Source organism: Homo sapiens, chromosome 6, assembly GCF_000001405.40.
Source record: "Homo sapiens chromosome 6, GRCh38.p14 Primary Assembly".
Classification (NCBI taxonomy): Eukaryota; Metazoa; Chordata; class Mammalia; order Primates; family Hominidae; genus Homo; species Homo sapiens.
Window position 1 is genome coordinate 8,747,674 of NC_000006.12, and position 17,224 is coordinate 8,764,897.

General features: G+C 36.5%; 1 long non-coding RNA gene across 1 annotated transcript in view, besides 2 other annotated features; it reads left to right on the forward strand.

The window, feature by feature from the left end:
• The window catches only part of LOC100506207 (uncharacterized), a 349,823-nt gene that overhangs the window by 312,051 nt on the left and 20,548 nt on the right, over positions 1-17,224 (forward strand). The window lies entirely within an intron of this gene.
• Positions 14,355-14,524: an enhancer, noted in NCBI's record as "experimental_96779 CRE fragment used in MPRA reporter constructs". NCBI's record gives its function as "activates a minimal promoter by MPRAs in K562 erythroleukemia cells, with activity observed for the non-introgressed 6:8762346 or rs7773191 variant allele {active_cell/tissue: K562}" and the evidence as "EXISTENCE:reporter gene assay evidence [ECO:0000049][PMID:34662402]".
• Position 14,440: a transcriptional cis regulatory region, noted in NCBI's record as "Neanderthal adaptively introgressed variant 6:8762346 (GRCh37/hg19 assembly coordinates) or rs7773191 in the experimental_96779 CRE". NCBI's record gives its function as "modulates activity of the experimental_96779 enhancer by MPRAs in K562 erythroleukemia cells {active_cell/tissue: K562}" and the evidence as "EXISTENCE:reporter gene assay evidence [ECO:0000049][PMID:34662402]".

The window sequence follows — 17,224 nt, forward strand, 5'->3', positions numbered from 1 at the left end:
TGGGAAAGAATAAATCTTAGGTTGCAGTTATGCACTTATTAACTCAATAAAGAATGTGATATGGATAGAATACCTTAATCATGGGACTGACCACTGACCAGAAACTCTGTACCTGAGTTAGGAGAGTTAAGAGGTTGAAGTTGGAAAACCTTGTAGCCAAACAGGACCTGAGAGATGATGCACCTGGAATGGTTTATCATAGGGGAGCCGTTAACTAGACATGAGCAGTGCCCAAAGGCCAGATTCAGGATGCTAATAGGTGGTCAAGAGCTACAGACAAGGCAGACACAAGCGGATTCCCAGGACATGAAATGAATAAGCTAAACCATGTCCAGAGTGGAGAGAGATCATCACATGGCTGAATATTCTTTAGTCATCCTTGGGTGCCACTTTTCAATAGGAGCATGAGGTTCTTAAGCACAGTTTGGAAGTGATGGAGAGGTAGCCAGCTGAGCAGATGAGAAACTAGAATTAGAACAGGTAGTTTTGCAAGATTTTTTTTTTTCAGTGAAGGGAAGGAAGAAATAGAGGCTTTAGGATGAAGTAGGTTCAAGGAAAGACTTTTATATTTGGTTAAAGGAGAATTGAGCATATTTGTAGGCAGAGGAAAAGCATTCTGGAAAACATAGGGGATATGAGGATGGAAGTAAGAGGAAATAAGTGTCAAAAGAGATAGAAGAAAAAAACAGACAACAGAAAAATATAGGCCAAACCAATTAAATTTTCCAAGTACTGGGCCCATTTTCTCATATGGTTTTCAAGATGCTATTGTGTTCATTATCACATAGGACCTGATTAATGAGTAGTCTCAAGTTTATTTTAGTCTATTCGATTGGCAACTGGCTTGGATTCTAGGTGACATACAGGAAGATTTTTATTTACAAAGCTGGCACCACTTGATCTTTATTCTGAGGAAAGGCATGTGGGCTGGTTGTACAGTAGTGATGCTGGATTTGCAATGAGGCAACAGTAATTTCTCAACTCAATTTTCCTTTAGACCATGGCCAAAACTATATTTTTCATATAGTTGCCAGAAAATTTTGGTACACTCCATAGCTATGGAAGAGAGAAAGCGGAACTGTCCCTGTGAGAGGCTGAGTATGAACACCAATCTTAGGAGCAAGATGTCATAACCACCAGGCTGTTTCTCATTGGGAAATGGGAAGATATATTTTCAGGATCACACTTTAACGACTCTTGAATATGTCAGGTAGAATCATTATTTAGCTAGTACACAATTTCCAATTAAACTAATTAATTAAATGTCATACTCTTTTTCTATGAATCATATATCCTGCAGGCAACCTTTCAGATCATTCCTCTTGACATTGGATTTTAATTTAACCACTCAAGAAATGGCCGTCACCAATCAGGTTGCAATATTTACCTATCCAGTTACAATGGGTGGTTCATCTGGCAAGAATAAATATGCTATTGAAAAACAATTTCACAAATGACAGTTATCTTTTTTCCCTAAATTTGACTTTCTATGTACCAGATGTTTCCATTCTGAATTTCTGAGAGAGGAAAACTCTTTTTATTTTATTTGTTTTTCCACCAGCTTGATGAGATGTATTTCATGTGCATCCTGGTGTCAGAAATTACTCATTCGAAAAATAGTAGTTGTATATGTTCGCTCTAGCAGGTATATAAAATCCATTGAGGAAGGTGGAGACCTCAGACACCTTTTAAACTATCTGGTGATCTATAGGAACCCACTAAGGATATAAAAATAAAAGACTGAATAGGGCAGTCTTCTTCTTTCACTCACTTTGCTCATTTCTCTTCAGTGGGTTGGAGCTGAAGCTGGTAGTGGGGTTAATTCCTTGACTGTTCTGTCAAATGTTAGGCTCCAGTACACATACTTGTGTATATATGAACAACTGTTTTTTAATAACCTGCCAAGAAGCTATAATCTTCCATTGCGGTCCCCTGGGATTTAATTAGAATGGTTTTCCACAGCCTGACATGTTTATGGGGCATAGGTAAAGAGACAGTTCATAAAACTGTCAATTTCCTGAGAAATTAAAGAAAAATTGGGCTGCTTAGTGCTTTGGCAATTCTGTGCTGCTGATACCAGCATTGCAAGCAATGAAATCAAGGGAAACATAACAAGATACTGATGCATTAGATATGGGCAGGTTAAAAATAATGTACAAGGGCATTTGTCAATTTGAATGCATAAAGAAGAAAGTGGAGAAAGTAAACCATAAACTGGAGTAGCTTGACTTTGGGGTGTTTGGGAACGAAGTGAACACTGAACAATAGTTTATTTGCATCTGGAAGATTTATTATTTTTCTTCTTAATAGACATGATCAAGAAATGAATTCTAGGGAGGATGTAGTCTCCCTAGGGGAATGATAATGTGATAAGCAGTGCCTTCATTTGGGAATTCTTCATTTAAACTATTTTTGCCTCCTTTAGGTAAGTAAAAGTTATTAATCTTACACAGACACTGTCTTAAGAGAACCAGGTCTGTTGAAACAAACGAGCCAATGTAAACTGGTCAGGCCTCTCTTTGCACTCTATCTTTAATCAACGTGTCCACTCTCTTTTACCCATCCTTCTCTGTGGCAGCTACTCATGATCACAACACTGAATTTGCTCAGGTACTGCACCCAGCCTGCAGTAGGAAACAGAGCGATGTGACAGCAAGCATGATCTTGAGTATTAGACACAGTCAAGGAGTGTTCTTAGGGTTACTGGGGAAAGACTAATATTCAAGGAAGGTCTGCTTTATCTCAGGGACCGTACTGGGCAATTTTTGTGCATTTCTCCATAGAATTCTCTCAACGACCTTCTGAAGTAGGTATTATTTATCTCACTTTACATATGAGTGAAAGGACATATAGAAATGTTAAGCAATCTGTCCAAGATCATTCAACCAGGGACAGGTAGGCAGAGCTAGGATCAAGGAATCATTATCTATGCTTTTTTTACATAATATTATATTGCCTTTTAAAAAAGTAGTTATAAAATGGTGGAATATGTATAAAATATGTACATTTGGAGAAAAGGAAGTCCAAAACATTGAGTGTTGCCAAAATAGCAGTGATGTGAGAAACAATGACCACCCTGTATATGCCAAAAGTCCCCATGATGGCAGATGGCTGGAGCAGGTCTCCCGGAGATGAGTGACATCATTATGCTATCACTCAGTACAGGGCTGGGGCTGGTAAAAAGCAGGGATTACATGCTGGAGGTCGCTGTGGTGTTCTCATCTTGTTCATCAAGCGTTTCATCCCTACCACTTAAGTAGTCGAATTCATGTCCTGTGAGTTTTAGTCATCTATACCTCTATTCATTTACTAATTTAATGTTGTTTTCCAGGCATGGTGTAAGGAACTTGAGCTCAAAATGAACTAAGACACAGTCTTGTTCACACAGTGGAAGGTAATAGGCTTTAGAGTTGGATGAATTTGGGGTCAAGATTCTGACTCTGCCACTTAGTAGCCATATGACCTTGGCTATTACTTGACCTTGATATTACCCAGTTTTATCACAGGAAAAATGGGGAGAAAAAATACTTATTTCAAAGTTGGATTGATATAAAAATTATTCATTTTATCTTTTTTCTTTTTCTTCAAGATCCCATAAATTAATGGTACATGTAGACATAGTAGAAACCAAAAATGATATTTTATTAAGAATCAATATGAGAAGAATTAATGGATTATTTTTGGATGTTGAAGAAGTCTTTGCAAAAGTCAACTATTTGAACAGCATAAAAAGATACTTGAACAGCATAAAAAGAATATTTTCAGATGGATACAAAGGAGGAAGGCAGTTTTTAGGTATTCAAAGGAACGCGGGCCATCCATGTTCTTGAAACACAGTGTGTGTGTGTGTGTGTGTGTGTGTGTGCGCGCGCGCGCGTGCGCGTGTGTGTGTGTGTACATGTGGACCTGTGTGAGTTAAACAGAAGTGGTAAAATCGAAAAGCATCAGAAGTTGAAGATAGGTTGAGTCCCAAGAATAAAAACTCTCTTACACCAACACTTTTTTTCTACTGGAATGGGAAGACACTAAAAGAATTTTAATCAATAAAGCTAGAAGAAAAGATTTGTATAACTTCAACAAGTCTTTCTCTTTCTTTCTTTCTTTCTTTCTTTCTTTATTTCTTTCTTTCTTTTTCTTTCTTTCTTTCTTTCCTTCTTTCTCTCTCTCTCTTTCTTTCCTTCCTTCCTTCCCTCCCTCCCTCCCTCCTTCCCTCTCTCTCTCTCTCTCCCCCTTTCTCCCTTTCCCCCTTTCTCCCTTTCTCTCTTTCTTTCTTTTCTTTCTCAGAGTCTCTTTGGCCCAGGCTGGAGTGCAGTGGCACCATCTTGGCTCACTGCAACCTCCGCCTCCCAGCTTCAAGTGATTCTCCTGCTTCAGCCTCCCAAGTGGCTGGGATTACAGGCATGTGCCACCACGCCTGACTGATTTTTGTACTTTTAGTAGAGATGGGCTTTCGCATGTTGGCCAGGCTGGACCCAAGCTCCTGGCCTCAAGTGATCTGCTTGCCTCAGCCTCCCAAAGTATTGGTATTACAGGCGTGAGCTACGGCTCCACCTCAACAAGTATTTCTAATTGATGATAATAGTTTAGTTCTAAGCCACTTAACTTATGTGTTCATGTCATTGACTTTGTAGGTAAATAAAGCTATTAATTTTAAATATGAGAAACATGTAAATAGTGCTAGCAAAAGATATAAAACTGATGGGGCAATCTAATTAATCTCTGAGTTAGTTCCAATGACAGAATCCTATTGAATTGTACAAAGAATAAATTTGAGTGAAAATAATTTGTCGAATAATACACCCTATAGCAGAAAGTAGCCTTGGTTTAAAAAAATTTAGAGATTTATACCAAACAGGGACAGCATAAATTGATAAAACCCATAGCATAGCAACCATGGTCTAGCAACACAGTTTTGCATAACTTCCAAGAAGACTGTCAACACTTGAAATTATCTCCAGAGTTAAATGCCTCAAAGTTATAGTCCATGTAAAGTCATAATTAATGCAATGTTATACTCACAATTTTGCAATGATACAAACACTTTATCATCCTATAACTTCTTTACTCTAAGGATCTAAAGTGATTTGTAATCATTAACTAATTAAAATTCTTACATCATCCCAAGATAAACTAAATGGTTTGTTCAAAACTCAATACTGTCTGTAAAGTAAGTTTGGTCTGCATTTTAAACTATTGGATAATAAGTAAGTGGTGGTGAGAGGGAAAATAAAATGCATTTATTTGGGATTGATCGAGAGTATTATATTAACTTATTTTTTCAAAATGTACTAAGATTATATGTAATTGTTTATGTGTGCCATTTCCAGCAAGTATGACAGAGCATTTCAGAGTTGTACTGACTGAAGGACAGGTGATTCCATGGAATAGTAACTCTGTATATTAGGTGCTGTTAGGAGGTCACCTATCTACATTTAACAAAGAATCAAATTCTTTAAGAAATGTTTTAGCTTCGATAGGTGATACGAAGATAGGGACAAAAACAGTCTTTGTAATGGTCCCCCTAAAAAGAAGAATTTGATTCTGGATGTACAGGTGTATTATATTTACTGTTCTATAAGTGATTCATTAGCAGTTCTATGTTCTAGTATATTTTATTATTATTTTGTAATACATGGCCAAACGTGAATTAGTCTTTATAACTTACTTTGGCACATAAATAATGTAAAAGCATGTGTTCAAAGAATGTTACTATTGAGTTCATTTCAAACAGAAATTTATTCTCCCCTCCAGAAAAGTTGTCTAGCTTGTTAGAATTATTTAAGAAAAGGCAAACCTTGGGAAAGTTTTAAACTGCTTACACTGCTTATATCTTTTGTTTGTTTTGAGATGGAGTCTCTCTCTGTCACCCAAGCTGGAGTGCAGTGGTGTGATCTTGGCTCACTGCAACCTCTGTCTCAGGGGTTCAAATGATCCTCCTGCCTCAGCCTCCCAAGTAGCTGGGGTTACAGGCATGCACCACCATGCCCAGCTAATTTTTATATTTTTTAGTAGAGACAGGGTTCCGTCATGTTGGTCTTGAACTCCCGACCACAAGAGATCCACCCACCTCGGCCTCCCAAAGTGCTGGGATTACAGGCATGAGCCACCACGCCCAGCCTAAACTGCTTATATCTTTTAATTTATTTTGAAACGAAAAGTTTCAAAGCACACAGTTTTTGCTTATTCTAATCTGTAGTTTTTAAGTTATCTATACACTATAACTGTTAAAACATGGAACTTAGTATGTACACAATAAGTAATACTGTTCTTATTATTCTGTAGCCATAGATTTATTATGATAAATTTATAAAAAATAAACCTATAATATAATAAATATATTTTTTGCCCTATTGATGTTTTGTTTATTTGCTTTATATTCTGTCTTAAAGATGAAATAATAGAAGACACTTTGCCTGTGGAATTTCAGTTTTCTCCATTTTCTTATTCCTCTATTTACAACCTTTCAATTTTTTTCCCCAAAGAACATAGCTTTTATTTTCATTATGTACTCTTTTGTCTTCCTCAACATTTTGTTGATTCTTTTCTTCCAAAGTTTTGAAATCATTACTGTTACTCCTAGGAAAAACATAAAAAGTCATTAGATACAGAATTTGTGTGATTTGTCTTTTTTATGCCTTAAATCATCAGAGGGAGAATACTCCAGCAGCCCAGGGCATTATGGTTTTATTTCTTGCTAGATTATTTAACTTCTTGTGTCTTTATCATTTTTTTAAGTTACTACAACACTTACTGTTTTTTTATCCATTCATAAAATAAAAGCAACTGAACATCTTATCTCTCTCTCTCTCTCTCTCTCTCTCTCTCTCTCTCTCTCTATATATATATATATATATATATACACATACACACAGTTATATGATACATAAGTTTATATATGCTACATAGTGAAAATGAGGAATGAACATTTATAGGCAGAAATAGAATAAAAGAGGAAAGAATGGAAGTCAAAAAGAGATGTGCTAAAGGTCACCAAAGTAATATGGAGAATTCATTCAGATCAAAGAAAGTTGGGAGTTATTTGACAGTGTTTAATATGAAGCAGCTGCATTGGAGAGTCTTCTGTAATAATTTATTCTTCTTTTGACTTGCAGAGTACTGAGCTGTCTCCGAAGAATTCAGATTATTGAATGTAGGCACCCTTTTCTGATTTCCTTCATCAATTCAATTCAGGAGATGTGATGCAATGTGATGTGTCAATGTATGTATGATCGAAGTGTCAGTCTCTATAAGTACTCCGCTCCATGATCCTGGGGTGAAGTGCTACAAAACACATTTTTGGTGGAGCAGAAATAGTGCTGCCTTTCCTGTGCTTCCCACGGCTGTTGTAGATAGAAAGCAATGAATTCAGAATTCTCAAGTCGGCCAGGCCATCTTCTCAGTGAGCTTTGCCTCAGGCACCCTAGATATTACCACATGAGAGCTATATTTCATCTGTTCTTAAATTTTTGCAGCTAAAGGACCACATTTGAGGGTCGAAATCCCTGCCACAAAACCAACCTTACCACCTTCTACTACTCATAAGAAAAATCCATCAGAATTTACTGGAATTTATTGCAAGAATGACCTTCCATTTCATGAGTTGACAATGATGTGAAGCCTGGTTTTATCAACTATCCAAGTAAAGTAGTAACTTCAAGTCTTTAATAGTACACAAGAATCATTTACAGGTCAAGTATGGAACCTCTAATTATGAAAAACTGATTCTCAGAGCATATTTTACCAGATATTGTGAGAAACAGAGAAAAAGCAGTTAACAATGAAAGTAATTACTGGCCTTCAAATTCATTATTAACAGCAAGTCAAATTGAAAAGGTACTGGTTCTGTTCTCTGTCATTGACGTGAGAGAATATGGTAGAAGTAAGCGGAGAAAGAGACTTGGAGGCCATCTGCTCAGGCCCTTTCACTTTTCTTCAGAAGCAAAGTTGTTAATTGCTCAAGGCCTTCAAGATCCCCACATTCCGTCTCTTTCCGTAGAACATACATGTGCCAGTATCCAGATTTCTTCACATATTCTTCTTTCCATGTCTCCCATTTCAAAGAAGTGTTCCTTCTCAGGTGTAAAGAGTGAGGCTAATTGCCCTGTCTTTTCCCGCTAACTCAGCTCTTCCTGAAACAAGTACCTTTCCTCATTTCTGTAATTTTTCTTCTGCTTGCCATAAAAGGAAATCAAGTTGCATACCATTCAAATCTCCCATCAGCTTTGTGATCTTTGGAAATGTTTTTTTCACATTTTCTAATAGAAAATTTCATATACAGTATGTACGAAATGGAGTGAAATGATAAGGTCCCATTTATACGACACTCAACTTCAATAGTTTCTAACTCATAGTAATCTTGTTTCATCTATACTTGCACTCGCTGCCATTCTGTCAGATAATTTTAAAACAAATATCAGATATTATATCATTCTCTAGTATTTATCACTAACATTTAAGAGCTATTTTATTAAACATAAGAGTAATGTCAGGGTCTGGGGTGTTGGCTCACGTCTGTAATCTCAGCATTTTGGGAAGTCGAGGCAGGCAGATCACTTGAGGTTAGGAGTTCGAGACCAGCCTGGCTAATACAGTGAAACCCTGTCTCTACTAAGAATCCAAAAATTAGCCAGGCATGGTGGCGTATGCCTGTGGTCCCAGCTACTTGGAGGCTGACATGGGAGGATGGTTTAAGCCCAGGAGGTGGAGGTTGCAGTGAGCTGAGATCGCACCACTGCACTCCAGCATGAGTGACAGAACTAGACTCTGTCTAAAATTTTTTTAAAAAGTAATGTCGTTATCACATGTAAAAATTAACAATGATGCTTTAATACCATCAAATAGCTAGTCAGTGTTTATATCTTCTCAATTGTCTCAGATAATTTGTTAAAAGTGTTGAATCAAGATTCAAATAAGACCATAGTTTGCCATCAGTTGATGTATCTCTTAAGTCTCCTCTCTCCTTCTGCAATATTTGTTGAAAAATCTGTGTCGAGACGGGCGGATCACGAGGTCAGGAGATCGAGACCATCCTGGCTAATACGGTGAAACCCCGTCTCTACTAAAAATACAAAAAAATTAGCCGGGCGTGGTGGTGGGCGCCTGTAGTCCCAGCTACTCGGGAGGCTGAGGCAGGAGAGTGGCGTGAACACGGGTGGCGGAGCTTGCAATGAGCCGAGATGGCGCCACTGCACTCCAGCCTGGGCAACGGAGCGAGACTCCATCTCAAAAAAAAAAAAGAAAAAGAAAAAGAAAAAGAAAAATCTGTGTCATTTGTTGTGTGGGTTCCCTACCGTCTGGATTTTGCTGGTTGATTTCTGTGAACTCTGTACTTCCTGCACTTTTATAGTTGAATCTGGAGGCTGGATTATATTTGCTGTTTTTAGCAAGAACTATTTTTGGACAAGGTCTCATATTTCAGTTAGTAGGTGAATAATGTCTGGTTGTCTCTCTTGTGATGTTGGAGTCAGTTGCCCAGATCCAGTGGCAACAACTGTGGGTAGAGCCAGTGGGAGTGGCCTGTTCTGGGTGCAGGCAATAAGGGGTGCTTTGCCCACAGTAATCTGAATCCTAAAGAGAATTTTAAAACAATATTGAAACTAACTAAAAGCTGGTATATTTTTATTATTACTAAGGTTGCTAATTCTAAATAATGTCTCTGAAAAAGAAAATCTTCTGTTGGACTAAGTTCTAAATAATTGCTGTGGTTACTGCTGAGTTTTAATAATATGTATCTTGGCTTCAATTTCACACATTTTTATTATGTATTCTTTAATAAACCTGCTATTCTACATAGAAGTAAATTCAGAGAAGTCCAGTTACACAGTTGGCTTCACACACGAGAATTGGGCTAAATGTTTTAATTTTGAGACTAAGTTCGCAAAACTTTGGATTCATTAGAGCTTGTGCTGGGTGTAGTCTGTGTCTCCAATCCCTCTGGTGCTACATCGTCCTGTGCTTAATTCTAAATCAATAATCATATCAGTGTCACTGTAAAGAGGAATACACAGAACACAAGTTACTTTAATTCCATCAATTCTGTCATTTTGTTAAACCGCTTGAAGTTATTTGTTCTTAAATGTTAAAAGACTGAAACAAAATATGAATCGCAAGGTGTAATAGCTTTGTTTGGTAAATGCAAATTTTAGTTCATATGTAAAGTCTTATTGTATTTAATTTACATGTTTAAAATGGAAATTTATTCTTATATTAATTGGAATACTAAAAATATGTATGAAGAGGAAGGCAGGATAAATGCTTGAGTCTTTCTCTTTATTTAATAGTTTTCAAAATAATTGGTTGGTTCCATATCATCATCCTCCAGAGATATCCAACTAGTTCTTTTTGTATTGTTAAGAACACATTTGTTTAAATATATCTGATGCCTTTGGCAACACCTTAAGCCAATTGCAGTCAGATTTAGTTATTATCCTATCAATGCCTCAAAAGTCTCTTTGGCTAATATAGGAGTCTGTTCAAGTTAGCTCCTGAGTTTTCTTGACACGCCCTTAAAAGTCTTTGGTAGCTTTCTTTGTAATGTACAAAATATTTCAGGCTCATTTTGCACATTTCTTGCTCTAGGCTTGGTATCAGTCATTTCTCAGAAGAAAACTGGTTTCTTTTAGTGCAAAATAGTGTTGGGCACTAATGGTGCTTGTTGCTACCTAATAGTTTCTAGGCATTTTCAGTAGATTGTGCTAGGTAAACAATTCTAAGGTAAAATGCATAATAAGTTTATACTGATCTTTCCTAATCAAATTCAGGATTCTGAATTTTTACCTGCCCTCATTCAATATTATATCTCCAAGTCACAGTGAAAATTCCAGTTCTCAATAATGCCAACATACTTAATTGACGTATTACATAATCCATGCATAACAGTCTCAGAATAGCAATACCAATACTACCGCTCACACTATGCTTAGCAAAAACAGATTTTTTTCGTGGTTATATTTGCCCACAGGATCTCTCGCACTAGGGATGTGTAGTCATATACTATGTCTTAAAGTCACTTGAAAAAATCCCCCTTTTTCTATTGGTGTCAATTTGACACATATTTAAATTAACTTATTTTATTTGGCTTTGGATATTACAAATTACTTTTTAACATTTAATTTTGGTTTATGATTATGTGAACTATTTACCTATTTACGTGGTTCCAAAGTAAATTCTACAGAGCAAGGTATATTCAGAGAGGTCTAGCTTCTACCCCTGTATCTTTCTATGCCTGTTTCCACTACCTTTCACCTTTAGATGTCCTTTTAAAAAAATTCTGGTTTGTCTTTTCATTTTCAATGTAAGAAAATATTGGTTCATGCTTTCATTTCAACACATAAAAATATAAACAATAGCATATGAAACACAGTTTTCTGTCCCTTGGACATGTTTCTTAAAGTCTCTCATTGTATCAGGTCATTGATACCTACTTTGAGACCTTCAGTCTGTACTAAATGAAACTGTGTATGACATGCTTGCTACCGTAGGCACACATGGGATTGTTCATTTTTATTTCTCTCTGAAATCGATCAATCCAGATACTCCCTACATCTAAAAGACCTCCTGCGCTCAAACAGCTCTGCTTCACACTTCCAAACTTTGTGAAAGTTTGCCAACTGAATTTTCAGCCTCAGTCTTTCTCACTGATGCTGCATCTTACAATTGGTGAGAAACAATCACATTTTCCTAAAACCTTAGTTAAGAACATAAAAAGATATTAAATTCATCTTAGAGTGTTGTTCTAGTGTATTTGGGTTTGCCTGAACATTTTTATGCACAAAATGGGGTAAAACATATTTGAACGTCAGATCCCATTTTTAACGTAAGGTATTCATAGGAACAGAGATCCCAACTTGAGCTTCCGAAACTTCTTAAGACTTTGGACTATTGAAACATCTGAAGACTTCAAACTTTTAAGTGAAAACTTGAAATGGGAGATTTGAGGCATTCTCATTATTGGTGGATCATAGAACTACCAAATGGATATAAGGATATATTCACTTATGTAGTTTGTTCCACACATTTTCCAAAATCATGAGGTGGGTGAAAGTATAGATAATTTTAAAAAAATGTCCTGCTGGGCATGTCTAGGAACTACTGTCTCTTAATAAGTCTCTCCTCCTCTTTGGCAGAGATAACAACAATTTGCTCTTCTCAACTCCTTTTGCCAGCACAGGGGAACAAATGACATGATATTTACTCTGCATCTGATAGCCTATCACTTTACAAAACAATGTTTGAGCCTGGGTGCAGTGGCTCACACCTGTAATCCCAGCACTCTGGGAGGCTGAGGTGAGTGGATCACCTGAGGTCAGGAGTTTGAGATCAGCCTGGCCAACATGGCAAAACCCCATCTCTACTAAAAATACAAAAATTAGCCAGGCATGGTGGTGCACGCCTGTAGTCTCAGCTACTAGGGAGGCTGAGGCACGAGAATTGGTTGAACCCGGGAGGCAGAGGTTGCAGAGAGCCCAGATGGCACCACTGCACTCCAGCCTGGGTGACACAGCAAGACTCTGTCTCAACAAACAAACAAACAAACAAAAAACAATGTTTGAGTACAACTCTAGGCCAAAGACCACCTATTCTTGGTAATGACAACTGTCTAATAATTGTTCAGCTGGTACCAACAATGCTGAGAGGGCATGGTGTGATGACATGCACTTCATGCCCAAGTAACTAAATTTGTCAACATATTCGATGCTTACAGGACACAGGACTGGGCTGTGGCCCTTGGCGAGCCTCCCAAGCTATTCAGTGATGTTAGACAACCCACTTACCTTCTCTGAAATTTACTTTTCTTATATGTAAAATGCAGCTATTGTACAGGTAAGTCAGATTTCTTCCAGCCCTAAAATTCTGCGACTCTTGGTCTAGCATGAGCCTAACTAACATCAGTGGATGATTATATAAGTGTAAACTGTGTGTAAACTGTAATAGAATCCTCTTTTTTCTCACAAGATCACTTTGATTTCAGATTTATAAGTATTTTTCTATTTGGAAAGGGACTTTAGAGGTGGGGTGTACAGATACTCATATTTTTTAGCCTAATGTGTTGGAGAGAAGGAACTATTAAACAAACTATTAAGAAGGAGGTAAAAGTGAGTCGAACAAATTAGATTTTTTAGATTGAATTATGAATTTGAAAACTCTGGTGCTCTTAAATATTCAGATCCATGAAGTTACTCTTTTACATGGGGACAATGAAATTTTCTGAAATTACATGGAAAATATTGTACAGAAAGGCAAAAACCGGAAGCATTTATTGAGCAGTTACGTGCTGCATACTTTCAAATGAATTCACTCATTTAAACCTTACAGAAACTCTGTGTTAAGTATTACCATTCTTGTTTCTAATGTCAAACTCAGTTATGTTAGTTACTTCTCCCAATATCACACAGCTTCTAAGGAATTAGGCAGTGACTGGACTTCAAAGGGTTGTTAGAAGTTAATATGTTAAAGGAGCTTAGAAGAGTATTCAGTACCTACTGTGCACTGTGACTTGACCTATTCTCTTCCTCCTCTTCCTCCTCCTCCCTCTCCTCCCCTTCCTGTTTCTCTTCTTCTTCCTCTTCCTCTTCTTCTTGTTCTTCTTCTTCTTCTTCCCCAGAAGTTCATTAAATTTACTTGGTGAGAGCACAGTGATCTCGGGTTTGGGGGCTGGGTTGCCTGCATTTAAATACACACACTGCTGTCTAGGTGAAGGGCAGAGTGCAAACTGCTTTAACTATGCAATCTGTAAAAAACTTGAACAACACGTGGCATACGCTGCATATACAGTAAATATAAACTCTTACTATTAACATAGTTCTTTTACGTATTGGTTTTACGGAAATAATTCTTTAAAAGCTACCATTCATGGTGCTATTATAAATAGGCTAGATAGTACAATAGATGCTAGTTAGGGTAGAAGATATTGATAACACTCATTTTATTGGTCGTATTATTTGGTATAACAGAGTACAAAATGATTTCTCCTGTTGTCTTCATCCTTAGAGACTTGAAGTCAGTTTAAGTCAGTCTTAAGTCACTGATTTTTAAAAGTAATTCTTCTGACATCTAGTCTCGATGATGATTTTTAAAAGGTCAATTCTAAATATGTTCTATTTTTTTCTCAGCAAGTGCTTATTTTTCTACTTTGAAGTCAGGAGATAATATATAGTTGAAATGTGATACCCTTAATCTCTTAATTTTTAGACATCTACCTGCCCATTTATTCTATTGTTGCCTCACCAAGCACTCAGAATTGCTTTACACAGCAGGAACAAAATCAACCTTGGAATCACACATCTAGTATTGAAGTGACATTCTGCCACTTGTTACCTGTGTGATCTTGGAAAATTTGCTTAATTCTGCTGAGCCTCAACATTCTCTAGTGAAAAATTAGATGGACAATGCCTTCCTTCAGTTTGGCTGACTAATCCACAAATGTAGGCAGGGCAATAAGTCTGTTTTCTTCCCAGAATATGGTGCAAGCATGGCCACGCACAAAGTGTGTCTGGATTGGTGTTTAGCTGCATGTGTCTTGGCCCATGCTTTTGTCCTGTCTAAAGTAAGAATATCTTAGACTATAGAGCTGGAAATGGCCTTAGACCTCATCCTGTCCAAGTTTCTTATTTAACAGATGAGAAAATTTTGGTCCAGACAGGGTAAAAGAGACATGCCTCAAAATCGAATCAGTTAAACTATAATGCGTCATATTGTTTGTGCCTTTATTTTTCACTTTATCCTTTCCTTCCTATTTCACAATAAAAATGAGTACCCTCACTTATCTATCTTTAGAAAATTACCTTTCTCTGACATTCAATATTCAAGAAAGGTATATATTTTTTGTAATCCACTTTTTTCTTCTTACAGCGTATCTTGGGATATTGAAAATACCCCATTTTTGCAAATAAATCTATAAATTTAAAGAAGTGTCAATCTAAATCTCCAGAATATACTTTATGGAACTTTGTAAGTCAATCATAAAGATGAGGTGAGGGAAAGAAACCATAGTAATGGCCAAGAAAAATTTTAAAGGAGGAGTGAAGGAGAACTTTTTCTACAGACATCAAAATGTAATATAAAACTATAGTAAATCAAATTATGTGGTTTTTGGCACTGGCATAGACTAATAGATCAATAGAATAGACTAGATTCCAGGAAAAAAACTACAACTGTAATAAAAATAGCATTTTAAGTCAGTGGGAAGTCATTTAATAAATGATATTGGGATAATTGGATATACACATGGATAAGAAAGAATGAAACTAAAATTGGTCTTATGCATATGTAATGAATATTGCAATCTCATGTGCTTTTAAAATACCCTGTGGGGTATGCGTGTGTGTATGTGTGTGTGTGTGTGTGTGTGTGTGTGTATAAAATGTCAGGGAAAGAAATCATTAGAGTGAAGGAAAGAGGCTAAGATAATTTTTAATTTTTTGACTCTTTGTAAGTCTGTGTTTTTAATATTTTTAATTTTCCTATCACTTTTGTGATTATAAAATAAAGATTTCAAGTACAAAAATCACTTCATTACATTGTACATTTTCTAAAAAATTTCAGCAAGCTGTGTATGTGTGTGTATTTGTTGTAAACCAAATCGTAATTTGAATTAAAGTGGGGGAACTACACTTTATTGGAATTAGAGGGCTTCCTTTCAAAAACGTGAGCATTCCCTAGTCTCCCCAGTTCTTAGGTTTAGAATTTGGTGCATCTGGTTTTCTTTAATTTTGCTTATTTCTACTAACCCTTGAAATCTGGGTACCATGATGGAGATTAACCATGTCATGCTGACTTCTGAAAGATCAGGTTTATCCTAGACCCCATTACCTTCCTCTGCTTAAGCTTTTGTTGAGGAAATTTTTCCGCAGCTGAAATGAGGTTTGAAGGCTTGAAGAACAGTGATTTCCATGTGACCTAGTGTAGCTTGGAAGAATGAAGTTCTGATTTGGAAATAGAATCATTTCCTATTGTGGTAGGTTAGTAAACTTGGAATAACAAGTATATGTTAAATAAATATAATTAAACAATAGTAAACATTAAATTTAAAGACTATTTTTAATGCTCCATTTGTATGAACTCACTTAATCCTTACAATAGCTGTGAGGCTGTTTCACTCATGAGGAAACTACAGCACAGAGAGGTTGGTAACTTGCCTGAATTCACAGAGTTAATAAGGATTGGTACCAGGATTGATGTTCAGGTCATCTTGTTCCTAAGTCTATTCCCTAATCACAGCCAATGATGCAATGAATATTCTTGTGTATGTTTTCTTACATTCACATGTAGAAGGTTTTTCCAAGTGTGGCATTCTTGGCTGTAGGTTATACCCATCTTCAGCTTTACTAGCTATTGACAATTTCTTCTCTTTCTCCATATCCTAGCACTTTTAAGTAACTTTTAATATTGGTCAGTCTGATGAGTGTGAAGAGTTAGATCATTGTGTTTTAAATATTCATTTCATTTATAACAAGAGAGTTTGAAATGTTTGCACTGGGTTTTGTCCATAGATTTGTAAGATTTTTTTTATTCTGAATACTAAATCGTATTTTCTATATAAACATCCTTGGGCACTTTGTTCTGTTTCTCTGCTCTGTTTCCCTAGCCCTGCACTAATATACATTGTCATAGTTACATGAGTTTTTCCTCTTTTACCTCCCCTTCCTCCTGGTCCTTCTAAAACATTGTGTATCTGATAGGATGAATCCCTTACCCTTTTTGCCTTCAAAATAGAATTGATCATTTGTAGCCTTTTAGCTCTTTCGTATAAACATTAAGATAAGGTTGTCAAGTTCTAGGAAAAAATTCTGTTGCATTGAATATATGGATTAACTTAGGAAGTTAGTTATGCTGATTCTATCCAGCCTGCTCTTTCTGAAAATGGTGTAGTAAAATCAGTTGCTGAAGCTTTAATGGTTAATGAATCTTACTGGCTTTCCTGTGACTGGTTGCGAAAAGGGATTAACAGTTTCTAAAGTAACTACTTATGAGCATGACCTCTATCATATGTCAAGTGCTATGGCTAAAGTCTTACAAAATTTATTGTTGTTTGTGTTGTTTTAATAAATATTGAGGTATTTCTAGATTGTGTTTTGTATTAATGTGATTGTTGCTGTTTCACTGAAGTAATATAGATGTTAGAGATACATGGAGTCACATTTGTACACTGATAACCACCATTTTTTACCCAAGACTGAGTATTTGGGATTCTTTAATGCCTTATTTGGCTCTAATTCATAAAGCT